Below are 18,840 nucleotides of genomic sequence, written 5' to 3'. Positions count from 1 at the left end.
TCATGTTGTTCATTGCTAGCATATGCAAATATAACATTTTTGTATGTTGATCTCATATCCTGCCATTTTGCTGAATTTATTACTTATAATACTGTTTTAAAATAATTTTTAGGATTTTCAATATATAAAATCATTTCATCTGCAAATAGAGATCATTTACTTCTTCCTTTCCAATCTGGAAAGGAAGATTGTCTCACCTAATTGCAGTGGCTATAATTTCCAGACTATAATTCAATAGTGTTGAATAGAAGTGGCAAAAGTGGGCATCTTTGTCTTGTTCCTAATCTTAGGAGAAAACTTTCAGTTTTTCACCATTATTATTCATTTTTGAGTGAAATGTTCCTAAGTTCTATGAACTTTTCTAGGAAATTACTGAACCTTGGAGGAGGTCATGGGAACTCCTGATTTGTAGCTAGCAGTCAGAAATACAGATGCAGTGTGGGACTTGCAATTGGTGTCTGATGTGGGGAAAGTCTTATGGGACTGAGCCCTTTAACTTGTGAGATCTGATGCTAACTCCGGGTATATAGTATCAGAATTTGATTGAATTGTAGGACACCCAGTGGGTGTCTGCAGATAATCGAAGAACTGCTTGGTGTAGAAAAACCATACACATACTTATCCACATTTGGTATGAGGAGAAAAATAGTTTTTTCTTACAAGTCCATACCCACTCTCACTTTGTCTCCTATCGCAAAGATTGACAACTCTCTCTTGCTGTCCTGAAGATGGGAGGCAAATAATAGGTCCATTGCTCCACAGGTTCCCCCTTTTTCAAAGTAGTTCACTGTACTTAGAGCACTTGGGACTTCTGCAGTTGAATGATTAATGGACAAGTGTCTTAAACTCTAGTGTCTTTAGCCTGGTATTATGATTTTCATTTATGCAAGACAAATTCATCCTCCAATCATATGAAGAATGCCCCATATGAAGAAAAAATTTCATTAAAATCTTAAACCACTTCATTGAAAATTAATATGTTATCAATAAACAGAGGGTCCTAATTTTTATAGAATGGGAAATGGCCATGGTCTAGTACAGTTACCCTTTAGCAGAGGTCTAGGTACTCAAGGAACAGTTCTTGATCTCTGAAGAATTAGAAAAAAACATGTACAAATTTCACAGAAATTCTCAAGTTTGCCTTATAAAATTGACTTTATAAAAGCAGCAATCCAGTGCTGGTCAGAAGGTCACCATTTCTCTCTTCAGAGCCTCAGTTTTGTGTGTGTGTGTGTGTGTGTGTGTGTGTGTGTGTGTATTTTTTGTAGAGATGGGATCACACTATGTTGCCCAGGCTGATCCTGAATTCCTGGACTCAAGCCATCTTCCAGTCTTGGCCTCCCAAAGTTTTGGGATTATAGGCATGAGCCACCATGCCCTAGAGCCTCAGTTTTAACTCACACATCTAAAGCTGGAAATGTATTGATGACTAAACATGATAGGCCGTGCCAGAAGTTAATATGGAAATATGCTTAAAATATGGACCCTATCAAGAGAGAAAAGCATTCAAGGAGAAGAGAGTAGTGCAGCCAAGTACTCTGTGTGGACCATGATCAGGAGATCTGGGAATTGAAATATTACTGATCTTTGCAAGCATAAGGGGCACTGGTGGAAGCATGAGGAATATTATGGAGGGATAAATGTGAGGGAGGATGTAGATTAAAGTGTTTGAAAAATCTGGATTAAATATTAAGAGAGATGGGGTACAGATGGACAGGGCACAGGATTTTTTTTTTTTTTTTTTTTTTTGAGACAGAGTCTCGCTCTGTCACCCAGGTTGGAGTGCAGTGGCATGATCTTGGCTTACTGCAACCTCAGCCTCCTGGGTTCAAGCGATTCTCCCTGCCTCAGCCTCTCAAGTAGTTGGGATTACAGGCATCTGCCACCTAATGCCTGGCTAATTTTTGTATTTTTAGTACAGTTGGGGTTTCGCCATGTTGCTCAGGCTGGTCTCAAACTCCTGACCTCAGGTGATCCGCCCGCCTTGGTCTCTCAAAGTGCTGGGATTACAGGGGTGAGCCACCAGCCCGGCCCAGGGCACAGGATTAAGGGATATTTCTGGGACAAGGGAACTTGTTTACAAGCTGAATAGATAAATTAGTGGTCAAGGAGAGTTGACAATCTGAGAGCAAGGGAACAGTTGTTGGAAAAACATCTTGGAGGGGTTGGAAAAATAGACTAGTGCCTGAGTTTAGGAAATTGCCTTTATTGAGGAAGGACACTTCATCCTCCAAGACTCAGGGGAAGTTCAGGTGGAAATAGATATGCTGTGAATATATGACAAGAAAGCTGTGAAATAATTGTATCTTTTTGGGGGAGGGCTCGTCTACTTCTTTTTCTTGTATTCTTTTCTTCCTCTATTCTAGTTTTTACTTTGTCTACTGTTTCATTTAATTTTTCTTGCACAGTGTACTGGTAACTGAAGATAACCACAGAAAGATTTTTTTCCTCCTGCCTGTAAGTCTAATAATTTTAGAATGTCTATGACTTGTCATTTTCTCTATTTTCCCAAGAGAAGCTTTCATAAAAGGGAAAGAGGGAGCAGATCTATTTCACTGGCATCTCGCTTTTCTCTTTGAGGGCGGAGGGATGATGTTGTGTGCTGGCAGTAAGCACAGGGACTAGGGACTTGATGATTGGGGAAGATTTGGAATAAGTGGTGAGGAGGATGGGAAAGGAAATTGGCCAAAGCCAGGTAAAAGGGCTGAGAAATAGCCATAGAGGGTTGGGGTCTAACTTGGAGTTTCACAAATCTGCCCAGTTGTGCAGCTTTCTTTAGCCAGTTGGATATAGAAGTCTATGTTGTTGCATTCCAGTGGCCTAATGAGTAACATGCTTAAAGTCAAAAAAATAAGGCAAAGGAAGGCCAAAATACTACCTTCATTATGGATAAAACTGATAGTTGAAGATGTGGCTTATATAATCAAGTGGACTTCCAAATACTGATCCCTAGAATTAGACTCACCCATCAGCCATAGGCATTGCTGGGGCACCTCAGGGCCCCCACTCCCCACTCCCCCTCTGTAACAGGGAGGGTGTGGGGAGCAGGGGCCACATGGATCCAAGAGAAAGATGCCCCATGGTCATGAGAGTCTTCTCCCCAGGACCATAAAGATAGAAAGGACTCATCAGTGTGCAGTCACTGATCCTTTGTTCACAATACCTAAAGAAATGCCTCCTCTCCTGTTTTAGAAGTACCTGGCATTAAGTGCTCCATTCTATTAAAAGACACAGAAAATTAAAGTGCACCCTTTTAAACCAATACACATGCCCCATGAAGGATGTCTTTGAAATGTGGATGACAAATGGTTCCAGGCACCTGTTTGTTTGACCAAGGCTTAGCTGATCACAGATGCCTCTTCGGGCTCCAGGGTGATTCACCACCTAATTCTGCCATAAAACTACCCTTATAAGCTTTCTAGAGTTGGAGGCTACCCAGCAATGAATCAATGGGCTGAGATGCCTTATTGTCATCAGAAGTGTTCAAGCACTGGATGAACAACCCACTGTTTTAGATGTTACAAAGGAGATTCCTATGAGCACAAGAGCTTTAGAACCATAACCACCAACGAATTTTAAAATTCCAACACCCTATGGTTTAAAGGAACTGTAGTTTTTGTGAATTGAAGCATAAAGCTCATATCATAATCTCTCATCATGATGTACGCTGCTAATGCTTTCATGAACAGTCCATGGAGCAAAATGATAAAGTCTGTTCATGAATTTACTGGTTAATCTAGCATATGCAATCTAGTTAGTGTGGGCAGTCAGATGAAGAAAAATGATTATGATGAAAAGACCCCAGGGAAAGGATTTTTCTGCTTGAATAGATCAATGTTAAAATTAAATTACTTCCACTGGGAAAAGCATATCAAATTCAAGATGGAAGGAACTGCACACTAAGAAATGGTGACTAGCCCCAGCATAACGTTTCTTCAATTTTTTAAAAACCACAATCCAAAATACACTTAATATCATGATGCAGCACGCGTGTGTGTGCACATACACACACTTCTAACTATAACAAAAGTTTCACAAAACAACACTTACCCTTATTATGGGCAATGCATTCTGACATCTTCTATTATATTTGGGTTTTTAATAATTAATTCTGTTATTGAAGCATAGCAAATAGGCAGAAAAGTACATGATTATAAGTGTAGATCTTGATAAATTTTCACACAATAAACACATCTATGCAACCTATATTTTATTCCACTTCTTTTTATTTTTTATTGTAAAATATTTATATCATAAAAAGAACCATGTTAATTTTTAAGTGTATGCTTCTGTGCATTAATTACACTCACACTGCTGTGCAGCCATCACCACTATCCATCTCCAGCACATTTTTTATCTTCCTAATCCAAAACTCCATACCTATTAAACAGTAATTCCCTATCTCCCCTCCTTTGCCTCTGGTAACCTCCATTCTACTTCTGCATCTGAGCTTAACTACTCTAGGTACCTCATATAAGAGGAATCATATTTGTCCTTTAGTGACTGGCTTCTTTCATTTGGCATAATGTCCTCAAGGTTCTCCATGTTATAGCATGTGTCCAAATTTCTTTCCTTTTTAAGGCTGAGTAATATTCCACTGGATGCACACATAATCTAGATAGATAGATAGATAATAACATTTTGTTTATCCTTTCATTCATCGATGGACATTGCATTGCTTCCACTTTCTGGCTATTATGAATAATGTTGCTATGAACATGAGTGTACAAATATGATTTTTAAAAATACCAGCCGCCCCGTCCGGGAGGGAGGTGGGGGGATCAGCCCCCAGCCCGGCCAGCCGACCCGTCCGGGAGGTGAGGGGCGCCTCTGCCGGGCCGCCCCTACTGGGAAGTGAGGAGCCCGTCTGCCCGGCCACCACCCCGTCTGGGAGGTGTACCCAGCAGCTCATTGAGAACGGGCCATGATGACAATGGCGGTTTTGTGGAGTAGAAAGGGGGGAAAGGTGGGGAAAAGATTGAGAAATCGGATGGTTGCCGTGTCTGTGTAGAGAGAGGTAGACATGGGAGACTTTTCATTTTGCTCTGTACTAAGAAAAATTCTTATCCTGTTGATCTGTGACCTTACCCCCAACCCTGTGCTCTCTGAAACATGTGCTGTGTCCACTCAGGGTTAAATGGATTAAGGGCGGTGCAAGATGTGCTTTGTTAAACAGATGCTTGAAGGCAGCATGCTCGTTAAGAGTCATCACCACTCCCTAATCTCAAGTACCCAGGGACACAAACACTGCGGAAGGCTGCAGGGTCCTCTGCCTAGGAAAACCAGAGACCTTTGTTCACTTGTTTATCTGCTGACCTTCCCTCCACTATTGTCCTATGATCCTGCCAAATCCCCCTCTGCGAGAAACACCCAAGAATGAACAATAAAAAAAAAAAAAAAAAAATTCAGGCCAGGTGCAGTGGCTCATGCCTGTAATCCCAGCACTTTGGAGGACTGAGGTGGGCGGATCACCTGAGGTCAGGAGTTCGAGACCAGCCTGGCCAACATGGTGAAACCCTGTCTTTACTAAAAATACAAAAAAAACTGGCTGAGTATGGCGCACACCTATATTCCCAGCTACTCCGGAGGCTGAAGCACGAGAATTGCTTGAAGCTGGGAGGTGGAGGTTGCAGTGAGCTAAGATCACCCCACTGCACTCCAGCCTGGGTGACAGAGTGAGGTTCCATCTCTAAATAAATAAATAAATAAATAAATAAATGCTACAACAACAACAACAACAAAAAGAAAAAATAAAATAAAAAAATAAAAATACTAGTTGCAACACATTAAATTGATTTTCTTGATGTTGAAAACTCTGGTATACTAGTTCAAAAATGGAAATCAAACATATTTTTTCCTTTGAGCCTGATTAAGCTAAACAGGCCACTTTCAGACTCTTCATTTTCCTGATTTTTTGAACTCAGAAGAGCCTTAATGTGTGTCAGAAGGGATGCTGTAGGAGTGGATTTCCTTCCCTTTTGGAAGCTGCCCAGCAGTGAAACGCAATGCCTCACAGTGGGTGGGGGCGGGGGTGGGGACCCCTTCACCTAGCCACCCTCTGACACACACTCAGCCTTCCGTTGTCTCTTTGTGAAAGTGAGATAGTTTGGTAAGTCAGCCAGGTTTTGGGCGTGCTCAGGGTTGAGGTATGGATCCATAGTTCCTACACTCCCTGCTAAACAAGATGAGCTGAATTGGACTTGCTCAGAAAATTTCTGACAGTCCACAGGCTACTCTGAAAGTTATTTACCTGCTGTGACTAACATACTGTATATCTTTTCAAATAAGTTTTGTGAAGAGAAACTACTTCCCTGAGGCATGGGTTTTCTATTGCTGCATAATAAAGCACCTCAAAACTTTCAACAACAGCAGGCCTCTGGGTTGATGACTGGGCTGGGCTTGGCTCGGGGTTCCTGCTGTCTGGCCTGGGGTCACTTCCATGTCATCCACAGGCTCCAGTGGGGCTGGATGGTCCATGACGGCCTTCCCACTTGTGCTGGCTGCTGGCTCTCTGACTCTCTGGCTCTGTCATCCTGGTGGAGGCACCCAGGCTTCTCATGGAGGACTCAGGGTTCAGAAGGAGACAGAGGGAGCCGCAAGGCCTTTTCTCGAGGCTCCAGCATGGAGGTCCTATAATATCACTTTCTCCACATTCTATTAGCCAAAGCCAGTCACTAGCCAGCCCAGATTCCAGGAGTCAGGAAGTCAACTTAACCTTTGATTAATGGGTACAAATATATACGAGAGAGAAGATATAAGACCTGATGTTTGATAGATCAGTAGGGTGACTATAGTTAACATTAATTGATTATATATTTCCAAATAGCTTGAAGAGAATAATTTGAATGTTCTTAGCGTCAAGAAAAGAAAATTATTTAGAGTGATGGATATTGGCCGGGCGCAGTGGCTCACATCCATAATCCCAGCACTCTGGGAGGCCAAGGCAGGTGGATTGCTTGAGCCTAGGAGTTTGAGACCAGCCTGGGCAACATGGTGAAACCCTTTCTCTACAAGAAATACAAAAAATTAGCCAGGTGTGGTGGTGCAAGCCTGTAGTCCCAGCTACTGGGGAGGCTGAAGTGGGAGGGTCGCTTGAGCCTGAGAGGTCCAGGCTGCAATGAGCCTAAGCATGCCACCACACTCCAGCCTGGGCGACAGAGAGAGACCCTGTTTCAAAAAAAAAAAAAAGTGATGGATATCCCAATTACCTGATTTGATTATATGAATGTATCAAATTATCACATGTACTCTGAAAATATGTACATCTAACATGTGTCAATAAAAATAAATGTGTAAATAAATAAACTTGACCTCTTGATGATAGGAGCGACAAAGTCACAGTGAACCGGAGCACACACAGAGACGGGACTGTAGCCATCTTTGCCAGAGTCTACCACTCTCCACCACAATCTACCAACAATCTATAACATCCTATTATTGCTTCTTTTTTCTTTCCTGCAAATAAGCTCATGCAAATCTTGCTTCTAAAGAGTAGGGTTTTGACCCAACATCCTTACTTCTGATAATTTACTTACAGATCTACCTGCACAACACAAAATGATATATGTACAAGATTACCCACTGTAGCACACTTCATAATTAAAAACAACCCACGTATCCATTAATAGAGGGCTGCCTAAATAAACTGTGGTACACCAACAGGAGAGGACATTGTACAACTATAAAAGAAAAAAAGAGGCCCTTGCGTATTGACACAAAAACCCTAGGATATATTGTTCACTGACAAAAATCAAAGTGCTGAGCAATATCCACTGTATCCCAAAAGTCTTACTGCAGTTCGAAACTTTTATAACGTTAGAAGTACAAGTACTATAAACACAGAAGAAACATGATTTGAAAACTTAATTGTATACATTTCTTTCTTTTTTAGATTAATCATGCCATATGATTATTATTTTAATTAATTTTTGAGACGGAGTCTCACTCTGACACCCAGGGTGGAGTGCAGTGGTGCAATCTTGGCTCACTGCAACCTCCGCCTGCCGGGTTCAAGTGATTCTCCTGCCTCAGCCTCCCGAGTAGCTGGGATTAGAGGCACGAGCCACCATGCCTGGCTAATTTTTGTATTTTTAGTAGAGAAGGGGTTTTGCCATGTTGGCCAGGCTGGTCTCAAACTCCTGACCTCAGGTGATCCACCCTGCCTTGGCCTCCCGAAGTGTTGGGATTACAGGCTTGAGCCACCGCGCCTGGCCCATATTATATTTACTTACTTACAAAGATCTAACATGTCACCCAGAGACCATTTCATCCACTGGTCTGTTTGGCCACCAGTCTCTTGTCTGTCTCTTCAGCAATGGTGAGGCGCATTACCTTTCCTTGGGGAAGAGAAATCCAGGGTTTGTTGATGTTGCTGTTGGCATCTTTCCCATGAACCACATCAAAAGAACCAGGGTGCCTCTCTCTGTTGGTGATCACACCAATTCTTCCCAGGTTAGCACCTCCAGTCACCATACACAGGTTCTCAGTGTTGAACTTGATGAAACCAGTAATCTTGCCATTCTCCAAATCAACCTGAATGGTGTCATTCACCTTGATGAGGGGATCAGGGTAGCAGATGGTATGAGCATCATGAGTCAGCAGATGAGGGATTCCTTTTGTGTCCACAAATATTTTTCTCACTTTGCACAACCTGTACTTGGCCTCCTCAGGTGCAATACGATGTACAGCAAAGGGAGCCTTGGTGTCACAGATCAGATGGAAATTCTCTCCCGTCTTGTCAGTGCTCATGACGTCCATGAATCCAGCAGGGTAGGTTACATTAGTTCAGACCTTGCCATTGATCTTAATGAAACTGTGCATGCAAATCTTCTTTACTTCATCTCATGTCCGACATTCTTAAGTCTGTTCTTTATGAAAAGATGAGGGAGAGACACTCTCTTAGCTTGTGGGGATGGGTGGATCGATGAGGAGCAAACACGCGGGTCAATTTATCCAGCATCAAATGCTATGGAGCTGCTGCCCATTTCAGATGCTTCTTGGGACCACAACCATGACAGCATTAGGCATGGAAAGAGCTTTTTATTTTATTTTATTTTATTGTTTTTTGAGACAGGGTCTCACTCTGTTTCCCAGGCTGGAGTGCAGTAGTGCCACCACCGCTCACTGCAGCCTCAACTTCCTGGGCTGAAGCGACCCTCCTACCTCAGTCTCTGAAGTAGCTGGGACCACAGGCATGTACTACCACACCTGGCTAATTTTCTTTTTTTTGGGTAGAGACAGGTTTTTGTCATGTTGCTAGGCTGGTCTCAAACTCCTGAGCTCAAACAATCCACCTACCTCAGTCCCCCAAAGGGCTGGGATTACAGGCATGAGCCAACATGCTCAGCCTTGTATACATTTCTTATTCACTTATTTAGTCTTGTGAACTTGGAATAATAAATTTTAAACTTAATGTTTTTGTTTCACTATTGTTTTCTATCTTCGATCAGAGATACTGAAACAAAAAATAAAATGTACTATTTAAAATTCACAAAACTAAATAAGTGTAAAAGAGATTTATATAATACAACTTCCAAGTGATGTTGTTTGTAGCATTTATAATTCTGAAGTTATTCATGCCTAAAGTTCCGCCAAGGCTTTTGGGTTACCCTATACAGGGTATGCTAACTTTCATTTAAGAAAAAAGTGGATTCCATATCTTTGCTATTGTGAACAGTGGAAATATGGTACATACACACCGTGGAGTACTATGCAGCCATAAAAAGAAAGAGATCGTGTCTTTTTGGGAACATGGATGGAACTGGAAGCCATTATCTTTAGCAAACTAATGCAGAAACAGAAAACCAAATACTATGTATTCCCATGTATAAGTGGGAGCTAAATAATGAGAACACGTGGACACAAAGAGGGGAACAACACACACTGGGGCCTACTTGAAGGCAGAGGGTGGAAGGAGGGAAAGGATCAGAAAAAATAACTACTGGGTATTAGGCTTAGTACCTGGGTGATGAAATAATCTGTACAACAAACCCCCATATCATGAGTTTACCTATATAACAAACCTGCACATGCATCCCTGAACCTAAAATAACAGTTTTAAAAAAAGAAAAAGGTGGAAATAGTTGTGTTCATTTCCTGTGGTTTCTGTAACAAACTACTATTAATTTAGTGGTTTAAAATAGCACACATTTATTCACTGCTAGTTCTGGAGGTCAGAAGTCTAAGGAACACTGCCTTCCTGGAGGCTCTAGGAAACAATCCATTTCCTTGCCTTGTTAGCTTCTTGAGGCTGCATGCATTCCTTGGTTCATGGCCCCTTCCTCCATCTTCAAAACCAACAGTATAGCATCTTCCAAGCTCTCTTTTTTTCGGACTCTGACCCTTCTGCCTCCCCCTTAGAAGGTCACCTGTGGTTACATTGGGCCCACTGGGGTCATCCAGAATAATCTCCAATCTCAAGATCCTCAGTTCAATCACATCTGCAAAGTCCTTATTCCACATAAAGTAACAAATTAATAGGTTCTGGGGATTAGCACATGGACATTTTTGGGAGGCCATTATTCTGACAACCACAGAAGTATATTAATTTTTGTTTATATTTGCATAATGATACACTGGAAGGATGTATTAAAAAGCAGTAAAAGTGGTTGCTTATGGGGGCAGAGAGGAATGAGAACAGCATGGAAGTGAGAATTCTTAATGTATATCATTTTATGAGGATTTGATATCTGAATATATGAGTGAATTATCTATTCAAAAATAAAATGAATAGTAAGTAGGGCCTGTTTAGTTTCAGGTATCTCTAGCTAGGGACACTTAGATTTTTATAAATTCAGATGTCATGGACATAACACTAAAATGGCTGAATTGATCCTATAGATTCGGAACCACATGAGTTTACTTACATGCAATGAACTATACATTCTACACACAGCAAGTTCTGGAATCTGTCTTCAGTTCCTTCTCACGAAGGAAATGTGAAGTCAGTGTGACTAACCAGTGGCTCCGGTTCACCCTGGGACATCTTAGTATGGTTCAGGCTGCCCAGCTCTTCCTGTGGGCACGGTGTTCCCTGACTTCAGGATTTTAGGATAAGCTGCAGCCAGGTCGTGGTCTTTGCTGTGCACTCACTTACGCTGGGGTGATTTGCATTTTCAGCCTCTCCCTGTCAAATGAACTGCACTGGGCCAGGTTTCAGGAACTCTGCGCCCACCTCACTGAGATAGGGGGAGGGAGGATAGGTCCTCGTGTCCTTAAAGCACTTTAGTCCCTGAGGCTGCTGCTTGGTGTTTGTGTGTGAGCCAGCTCTGACTCACCAAATCGAGAAGAAAAAACTTCCACCGAGGACAATGTGCCAAGGAAATGTGCTCAGGCCCACGCGGCAGTGAGTCCAGCAGTTGGGACGGAACCTGAGAGGAGGCAGTTGGGGAAATAAACAGAGCGCCAACTCAACAGTCAGCGCCCCTGTGCATCGCAGCGCAACCTGCGATGGGAGAGGTTTCTCTGCCTTCGTGGCCGCTTCCTTAACAGATTCATGATTGGCAGGTGGCCTGCGAGCTCTCACATGCGTGCGGTGGGCGCCCCAGGGACTGCCCCTCCTTTGGCAGGAGCCTGGTTTGTGTTTATTTTTGGTTGTGCCAGAGGGAAACTGCACTTTGAGGAAGAAAAACAATTGCTGGTTGTTTAGGAGGAGCAGTCTAATCCGAGACGGCCTTGTCTTCTGCAGAAAACAAGCGGGGCGCAAATCAACCCAGGCGCAGCCAAGGGGCCGCGGTCGCGCTGAGTCACAGCCCGCTCAGAGCTCAGCGTGACTCAGGGCTGGCCGCCTCCCTGAGGCATCTGTGAGTGATCCCAGCCGCAGGAGGCGGCATCTCTTTCGTCTACGGCTCCTCCAGACTCATTTCCTTCCTCTGGAGGTTCAGGTGTCCCTGTGGGGCGTGGTTGGGGGTACGAGGCACCTCTGCGTGCAGTTCCCAGAGAGCGCCCACCCGGCAGGGCCCTGGGCCTCACGGCCTGGCTGAGGGGCTAGGCCTGCCTGGCCCCGCCTCCGCCACAGGCTGTGCCCTCAGACCTTGCCAGCATCTTTCCAACACACCCATTAGTCTCAAGGTCAAGTCGGGTGAGAGGGCCTGGAGGGATTATAACAATAGAAATGTAAGACAAAGTAGCAAATGTAAGAAGCCACGTGCCTCCTTTCTGCCTGCAGTAGAATTTCACAAAGCCCCAGACCCCTGGCAACTTGCAGCTCTGGGGAAAGACGCTTTGAGGACAAAACAGGCTACAGCACACGACCCCCAACTCTCTTGCCTGAGTCACTATATTCCTTAAAACATAAATGAGGCCAGGAGCAGTGGCTCACGCCTGTAATCCCAGCACTTTGGGACTCCGAGGCCGGATGATTACTTGAGCCCACGAGTTTAAGACCAATCAGCCTGGGTGACAAAGTGAGATCCCTGCTCCAATCTCTATGAAAAATTAGCCAGCCACGGTGGCCCATACCTGTGGTTCCAGCTACTCGGGAGGCTGAGGCAAGAGGATCGCTTGAGCCCAGGAGGTTGAGGCTGCAGTGAGATATGTTTGTGCCACCGCACTCCAGCCTGGGCAACAGAGCAAGACTGTCTCAAAAAAAAAAAAAAAGAAAAAAAAAAAAAAAAAGATAAACGGCCCCAGTCCTTGCCTTTTCCTATACATAAGATCATGTTTGGCAAGTTAGTGATTATGCCTATGTAATCTATAACCAGGTGCACTTTACGCCCAGTGTAACTTCTGAGCAAGTTTGATGAGATTTTGCAGATACTAAACCTCCACACCTGTATATAAGCATAGAGCTGAAACACGGTGTAGTCTCATGGAACCTCTCTAGAGGTCTGCTTCTGGGCTGTAGGCCTCAGTGAGACTTCTGAATAAAACTAACTTTAATTCTTTAAAAGCTTGATCTTTTTTCCTTCAGTCGACAGAAGTAATTGTAGCGTTTAGTGATCAACTCCTGCAGGCCCAAAACAATTATGTTAAATTATAATTCTTACCAACCACTCTCCCTTCTCCCCTCCTAAGGAGATGTGATTCTCTGCGGGGTTACACACCCAGCCTCTCTTGGAGGTGGGTGGGAAGGGGTCATTCCAATGAGAAATGTGTATGATAAAGGGAGAGCCAGAGCTGGAGCCAGGTAACGAAAGTTAAAAGGTGAGCAGCTCTGGTTTAGTGTGAGAAAGGATGCGAAGGGAGGGTTTTGAGGTACTGGAGGGACCAGAGGGAAATTTGAGCAGCTGTACTGGAGGGTGGGGCTTTGGGGAAAAGTCATATCAAAATGAGAGTTTTAGGAAAGTTTTCCATGTGGTTAGTGGGGCAAATTCCTCTCTCTTTGCATGGTTCAAAAACACTTCCAATTGCTTGGAATCTGGCTTGTGTTATTTATTTATTTTTATACTTTTTAGAATTTAGAGATGAGATCTCACTATGTTGTACAGGCTGGTCTCAAACTCCTGGGCTCAAGCAATCTTCCTGCCTTGGCCTCCCAAAGTGCTGGGATTACAGGCATGAGCCACCCCTCTCAGCCTGATGTTTATTTATCTATTTAGAGATGGGGGTCTTGATCTGTCACCCAGGCTGGAGTGCGGTGGCGTGATCACAGCTCACTGCAGCCTCGAACTCCTTCCCTTAAGTGATCCTCCCACCTTGGCCTCCCAAAGTGCTGGGCTTACAGGCATGAGCCACCCCTCTCAGCCTGTTATTTATTTATCTATTTAGAGATGGGGGTCTTGATCTGTCACCCAGGCTGGAGTGCGGTGGCGTGATCACAGCTCACTGCAGCCTCGAACTCCTTCCCTTAAGTGATCCTCCCACCTTGGCCTCCCAAAGTGCTGGGATTACAGGCATGAGCCACCGCGCCCGATCAAATCTGGCTTGTGTTTATATGCACATCTGTAACACACAGACTGGCCCAGGGAGGCCATCAGCCCAGTGGAGTGTATGGTGACCCAGGCTCCCCAGCCCACAGCACTAATGTACTGGGCTGGCGGGAGGTGGGCAATCCCAGAGCACCAAGGTGAGGGGCGAGGGCTGTGAGGTGGGAAGGAGGGAACACAGATAAGAGGTGGTGTAAGAAAAAGCTGGTGACCATCTCACAAGGACATGAACCTCTGGAGAGGCTGCATGGAGCCATTGCTCTTGGAATGGCGCAAGAAGCCATGGGAAGCTTGAATGAGCCATTTATCTGTCAGCTTCTCCCATCTCCCAACTCTCACTGGTCCATGTTCCTTCCTTGGGGTGTTATCTCCCCCATGTTTCTGAGTGTGTTACTCTGTGTTCCTCTGGGCAGCCCCCCGGGGCAGTCAAAGCCCGTGGGGGTCTGCTTGACTCCCACCTGGGTGCTGGGGCTGTAGCTACAGAGGACGTAATGGTGGTCATGTTCCTCTGCCAGGGGAGGCTGAGTGCTGGGTGGTGGTGTGGCAACTGCACCTGCTCCTGGAATAAGCAGCAGAGGCACAGACATCAGGTGGGGACAAGCAGATCTCAGAGGTGCACCTGCTGGTATGGTGCAGTACTTTTATGCTAATGGACAACGGGATATCTTCCTTAGGAAATTGTATTTGTATTTGTTGGGAAATTACTACCATATACTGATTTTTGGTAGTACAAGATATGTTGCTTCCATATGCCAGGAAACTGTCACGATAAATACACATGACATGCCTACAATGTGAAAAGTCCCCTTAGGTGTAATGTCCTTGTGCAGTATTCAACAATGTACAACTGTCCATGGCCTTGAACTGGCCTCATGGGCCCAGTATAAGAGTAGGCTGCCATAGAAAGGTCTCTCCACAAAGTTCATTCACATTTCAATGGAGAGTTGACTTGTTGAAACTGAACACAAAGCTCTTCAGGTTTGCCCCAGAATTCTGGAAGGTGAATCTCCAAGTGGGAATAGATAATGAATGAATGAATAAAATAGTCCAGTCACAGAGATGCCTTCTTTTTCTCATTCCTCTCTATCACCCAAGAACAAAGTAAAGAATTGTTTCCTAGTGTTCCCTGGACGCATGAAACTTGACAACAATGCGGCAAGGTGGTAGGCCTTATTTTTCATGTTTTTTTTTTGTTTGTTTTGTTTTTTTTGTTCTTGAGACAGGGTCTCCCTCTGTCACCCAAGCTGGAGTGCAGTGGTGCGATCTCGGCTCACTGCAACTTCCACCTTCCAGGTTCAAGTGATTCTCCTGCCTCAGCCTCCCAAGTAGCTGGGATTACAGGTGTCTGCCATCATGCCTGGCTAATTTTTGTATTTTTGTAGAGATGAGGTTTCACCATGTTGGCCAGGCTGGTCTTTAACTCCTGACCTCAGGTAATCCTCCTGTCTCGGCCTCCCAAATTGCTGGGATTACAGTCGTGAGCCACCTCGCCCGGTGTAGGTATTATTTTCCATGTTTTTTTTTTTTTTTTTTGTGAGACAGGGTCTTGCTCTGTCACCCAGGGTGGAGTGCAGTGGAGCCATCACAGCTCACTGCAGCCTAGACCTCCTGGACTCAAGTGATCCTCCCACTTCAGCCTCCCAGGTAGCTGGGACTACAGGTGTGCACCACCATGTTGGCTAATTTATGTATTTTTTTTTTTGTAGAGACAGGTTTTGCCATGTTTCCCACTCTGGTCTTGAATTTCTCAGTTCAAGCAATTTACTTGCCTCAGCCTCCCAAAGTGCTAAGATTACAGGCGTGAGCCGCTGTGCCTGGCCATTTTTCATGATTTTACACATGAGGAAACTGAGGCCCAGAAATGTTAATCTGGCAAGTGTGTGATCGTAGCCAAGATCAGAAAAGGCAGGTCTTCTGATCTGAATTCAAGTAGTGTGAGTTACACTAAATCAACTTTTCTCTTGATAAAACAGCTAAAAGCTCAGTCACTTACCCTGGATCATTCATATCATCTCTATAGTGTCATCTCCCTACTTAAAGGCCATCTTAGCAATCATTATGTCAGATTGTCAAGATTCCCTAGTTTTCACTCATTCATTCATTCCTTCATTCCTTTATTCACTTCATATGTGCTATGGTTTGGATACGGTTTGTTTGGCCCCACCAAATCTCATGTTGAAATTTAATCCCCAGTGGAGGTGGGGCCTGGTGGAAGGTGTTTGGATTGTGGGGGAGGATCCCTCATGGATGGGTTGGTGCCTGTCTGGTGGGAGTGAGCGAGCTCTCACTCTTAATTCCCAAGATAATCGGTTGTTGAAAAGAGCCTGGCACCTTCTCCTCTCTGTCTGTCTGTCTCTCTTTCTCTCGCTTCTTCTCTCACCATGTCGTCTGTACATGCCAGCTTGCCTTTGCCTTCCACCATGTGTGGAAGCAGCCTGAAGCCTCACTAGAAGCAGATGCTGGCACTATGTTTTCTGTACAGCCTGCAGGACCATGAGACAAATAAACCTCTTTTCTTTATGAATTACCCAGCTTCAGGTATTTTTTTAAATAGCAACACAAATGGACTAAGACAAGTATTTACTGAATTTCTGCTACTATGTGCCAGACTCTGTTCTCTAGATAAGTAAATAAATATGATTTTCATTGCTTTTATGACAGAAATAATGTGGAAATCATGTAGGCAATTCTTCTTAGCCAATGAGAGAAAGAATAGACTCATAAGATTACAGTGGAAGTACTCCATCGGTGGTCCCGTTTCCATCAGTTTTCTAGGTTGGAGAGAGGCAGAAGACATGAATTTTCTGGAAATGTTATAGAGACAGAGGCAATAGACAGAGACAGGACAGGAAGCTTAATGAGGGTCTTAAAAAAACCAGAACAGGCCAGGTGCGGTGGCTCACGCCTGTAATCCCAGCACTTTGGGAGGCTGAGGCGGGCGGATCATGAGGTCAGGAGTTTGAGACCAGCTTGACCAACGTGGTGAAACCCTGTCTCTACTAAAAATACAAAAATTAGCCAGGCGTGGTGGTGTGTGCCTGTAATCCCAGCTACTCAGGAGGCTGAGGCAGAATTGCTTGAACCTAGGAGGTGGAGGTTGCAGTGAGCCGAGATTGCGCCACTGCACTCCAGCCTGGGCAACAGAGTGAGACTCTGTCTCAAAAAAAACACAAAAAACAAAAAACAAAACACAAAACAAAACAAAACAAAACCCAACCTAGGACAGAATGACACAGCGTGTACAAAAAGGAACTGATATGCCAACTGTTGATCCAGTCTTTCCCCTGGATCAATAATTGGTGCTTTTGTATCCCTGCCCCACCCCCTGACTGCCATCTCCTATAATCTGTGAACCTGGTCCTGTCCTGCCTCTGCTTTGATCCCTCTGTCTGCTGTAGCCTTTAGGAAAAGCCTGGACAAAATCCAGACTCCCTAGAATGGCACACAAGGTCTTTTATAATCTGACCATTCTCTACTTCTCCATTGCATCTCTTGCTCCCCCATCACGGCCTTCTTCATTCCCTCCATCTGGCACGTGTCATTTCTCCCAACATGCAATGTTTCTTGCTCCTGTGACACCCTCTGGAAGCTCCAACACCCACTCCCACCACAGCCCTGCCTTCCCAGCTGTATGTGCGTGTTTATGCATTTGTCACACTCGATGGGGAGTTCCTCACAGGTAGCTAACTCTCCTTCGGTCCCCATAGCACAGTGGTTTTCAATCTGTGCTCCCAGGAGCTGAGGGAGGGGCTTTCTCTCCCGCTATCCTCCCCCTGCCATCTCCCTCACTTCACCTCAATGGGCTCCACCTTTATCATTTGTATATTGAAATTCAGTGTAATATTTCATTTTTTAAAAAGAGTCCCCTGATTCAAAAATATAAATTTAAAAATCATTTGGCCCCTAGCAGGCACTCAATAAACATCTGTCACTTATGAGGTTGGCTTAGGTTAGTGTGGACAGAACACGGGGGCAGCCTTGGGTGGTTTGTGGAGGGCGCATCTACTGGAGGCGAGGCAGGGTTGTCCACTTTTCTTCACTGCAAGCCATGTGGAGCTTACAACGAGTGCAGAGAAATTTTACTTCTGGGGACTCTTCTTTTTTAAACGTGCTATGACTTTCTTTCTTTAATAAATATCCTTTGGCTCAAAGTTGAGGACAGAGATCAGGAGGCAACTCTTCAGCACCAATAGGGAAAGAGTAGACATAAAAATACCGTGATGGAGGAATCTCAATGTGTTCCCAGGAGTTCTGGAAGTACAAGGTAGCCCCCCTCCCTCCCTCCCCACCAAATGAGGGGATTTTGGAATCAGTTAGGTGAGCGTTAGCTCTCAGGTTGGGAGTATCTGTTCAATTCTTGGATCTGTAATTATTCCTGGGTCCAGAAGAAAAAAGATACAAAGTAGTCAAAATAAAATAGACTCTTAATGGATCCATGACTGTTAATAGCCAGGGTGACTCTGTGATTTTTCCATGCCAGAGACCTGTTCCATCAAGTCCGTGTTAAACGCAGGAAGAAAGACAGTATTAACTTCGAAACCCTGGGACACGAAACTACCTCAATTTATAAGTTGAAAAAATGTATTTATCTCTCTTTCTTATGTCAAAAAGAACTTAAGGTGGCTTACTGAGATCCAAGAGTACAGCGAGGAGGAATAAAATTAAAGTGGAAGAGAAAAGGAAAGGAAAAACAAGAATGAAGATATTAAATGAAGCTTGCAGTTAATTTTAAAAAGTGCACAGATAGGCCATAATGCTGATACTTCATTTTTCTTTCTCTGCTAGACGAGAGAAACCTGATAAATTTGCACAGGGACAGATGCTCAGGGGAAAGGAAAGAGCTCTGCCTTGCACTTGTACAGAAAGGAAACAAGGCAGCAGAGGCAAGACCAATGGAGAGTACGGCAGCAAGACAGAAAGGGGCAGAAGGCGACAGAACATGCACGCTGGGGACATGGAAATTTCTAGAAAGAAG

The 18,840-nt window shown here is 44.3% G+C and overlaps 1 pseudogene, besides 7 other annotated features; it reads right to left on the bottom strand.

Moving 5' to 3' along the window:
* Positions 6,286–6,961: an enhancer, noted in NCBI's record as "H3K4me1 hESC enhancer chr18:9022070-9022745 (GRCh37/hg19 assembly coordinates)". NCBI's record gives its function as "activates a minimal SCP1, AML or CMV promoter by ChIP-STARR-seq in naive H9 embryonic stem cells {active_cell/tissue: H9 hESC(naive)}" and the evidence as "EXISTENCE:reporter gene assay evidence [ECO:0000049][PMID:30033119]".
* RPS4XP19 (ribosomal protein S4X pseudogene 19) lies at positions 8,207–9,035 on the bottom strand (annotated as a pseudogene).
* Positions 10,768–11,967: an enhancer, noted in NCBI's record as "P300/CBP strongly-dependent group 1 enhancer chr18:9017064-9018263 (GRCh37/hg19 assembly coordinates)". NCBI's record gives its function as "activates an origin of replication core promoter dependent on BRD2, BRD4, P300/CBP, MED14 and CDK7 cofactors, with strong dependence on P300/CBP, by STARR-seq in HCT116 cells {active_cell/tissue: HCT116}" and the evidence as "EXISTENCE:reporter gene assay evidence [ECO:0000049][PMID:35650434]".
* Positions 10,768–12,516: a biological region, named in NCBI's record as "P300/CBP strongly-dependent group 1 enhancer GRCh37_chr18:9017064-9018263".
* Positions 11,208–11,317: an enhancer, noted in NCBI's record as "active region_13065". NCBI's record gives its function as "activates an Ori minimal core promoter by ATAC-STARR-seq in GM12878 lymphoblastoid cells {active_cell/tissue: GM12878}" and the evidence as "EXISTENCE:reporter gene assay evidence [ECO:0000049][PMID:35858748]".
* Positions 11,478–11,547: an enhancer, noted in NCBI's record as "active region_13064". NCBI's record gives its function as "activates an Ori minimal core promoter by ATAC-STARR-seq in GM12878 lymphoblastoid cells {active_cell/tissue: GM12878}" and the evidence as "EXISTENCE:reporter gene assay evidence [ECO:0000049][PMID:35858748]".
* Positions 11,692–12,516: an enhancer, noted in NCBI's record as "H3K27ac-H3K4me1 hESC enhancer chr18:9016515-9017339 (GRCh37/hg19 assembly coordinates)". NCBI's record gives its function as "activates a minimal SCP1, AML or CMV promoter by ChIP-STARR-seq in naive H9 embryonic stem cells {active_cell/tissue: H9 hESC(naive)}" and the evidence as "EXISTENCE:reporter gene assay evidence [ECO:0000049][PMID:30033119]".
* Positions 11,998–12,097: a silencer, noted in NCBI's record as "silent region_9275". NCBI's record gives its function as "represses an Ori minimal core promoter by ATAC-STARR-seq in GM12878 lymphoblastoid cells {active_cell/tissue: GM12878}" and the evidence as "EXISTENCE:reporter gene assay evidence [ECO:0000049][PMID:35858748]".

This window comes from Homo sapiens, chromosome 18 (genome assembly GCF_000001405.40).
Source record: "Homo sapiens chromosome 18, GRCh38.p14 Primary Assembly".
Lineage (NCBI taxonomy): Eukaryota > Metazoa > Chordata > Mammalia > Primates > Hominidae > Homo > Homo sapiens.
Note: the sequence above shows the minus strand (reverse complement) of the source record. Positions and strands in the feature narration are given on the sequence as shown.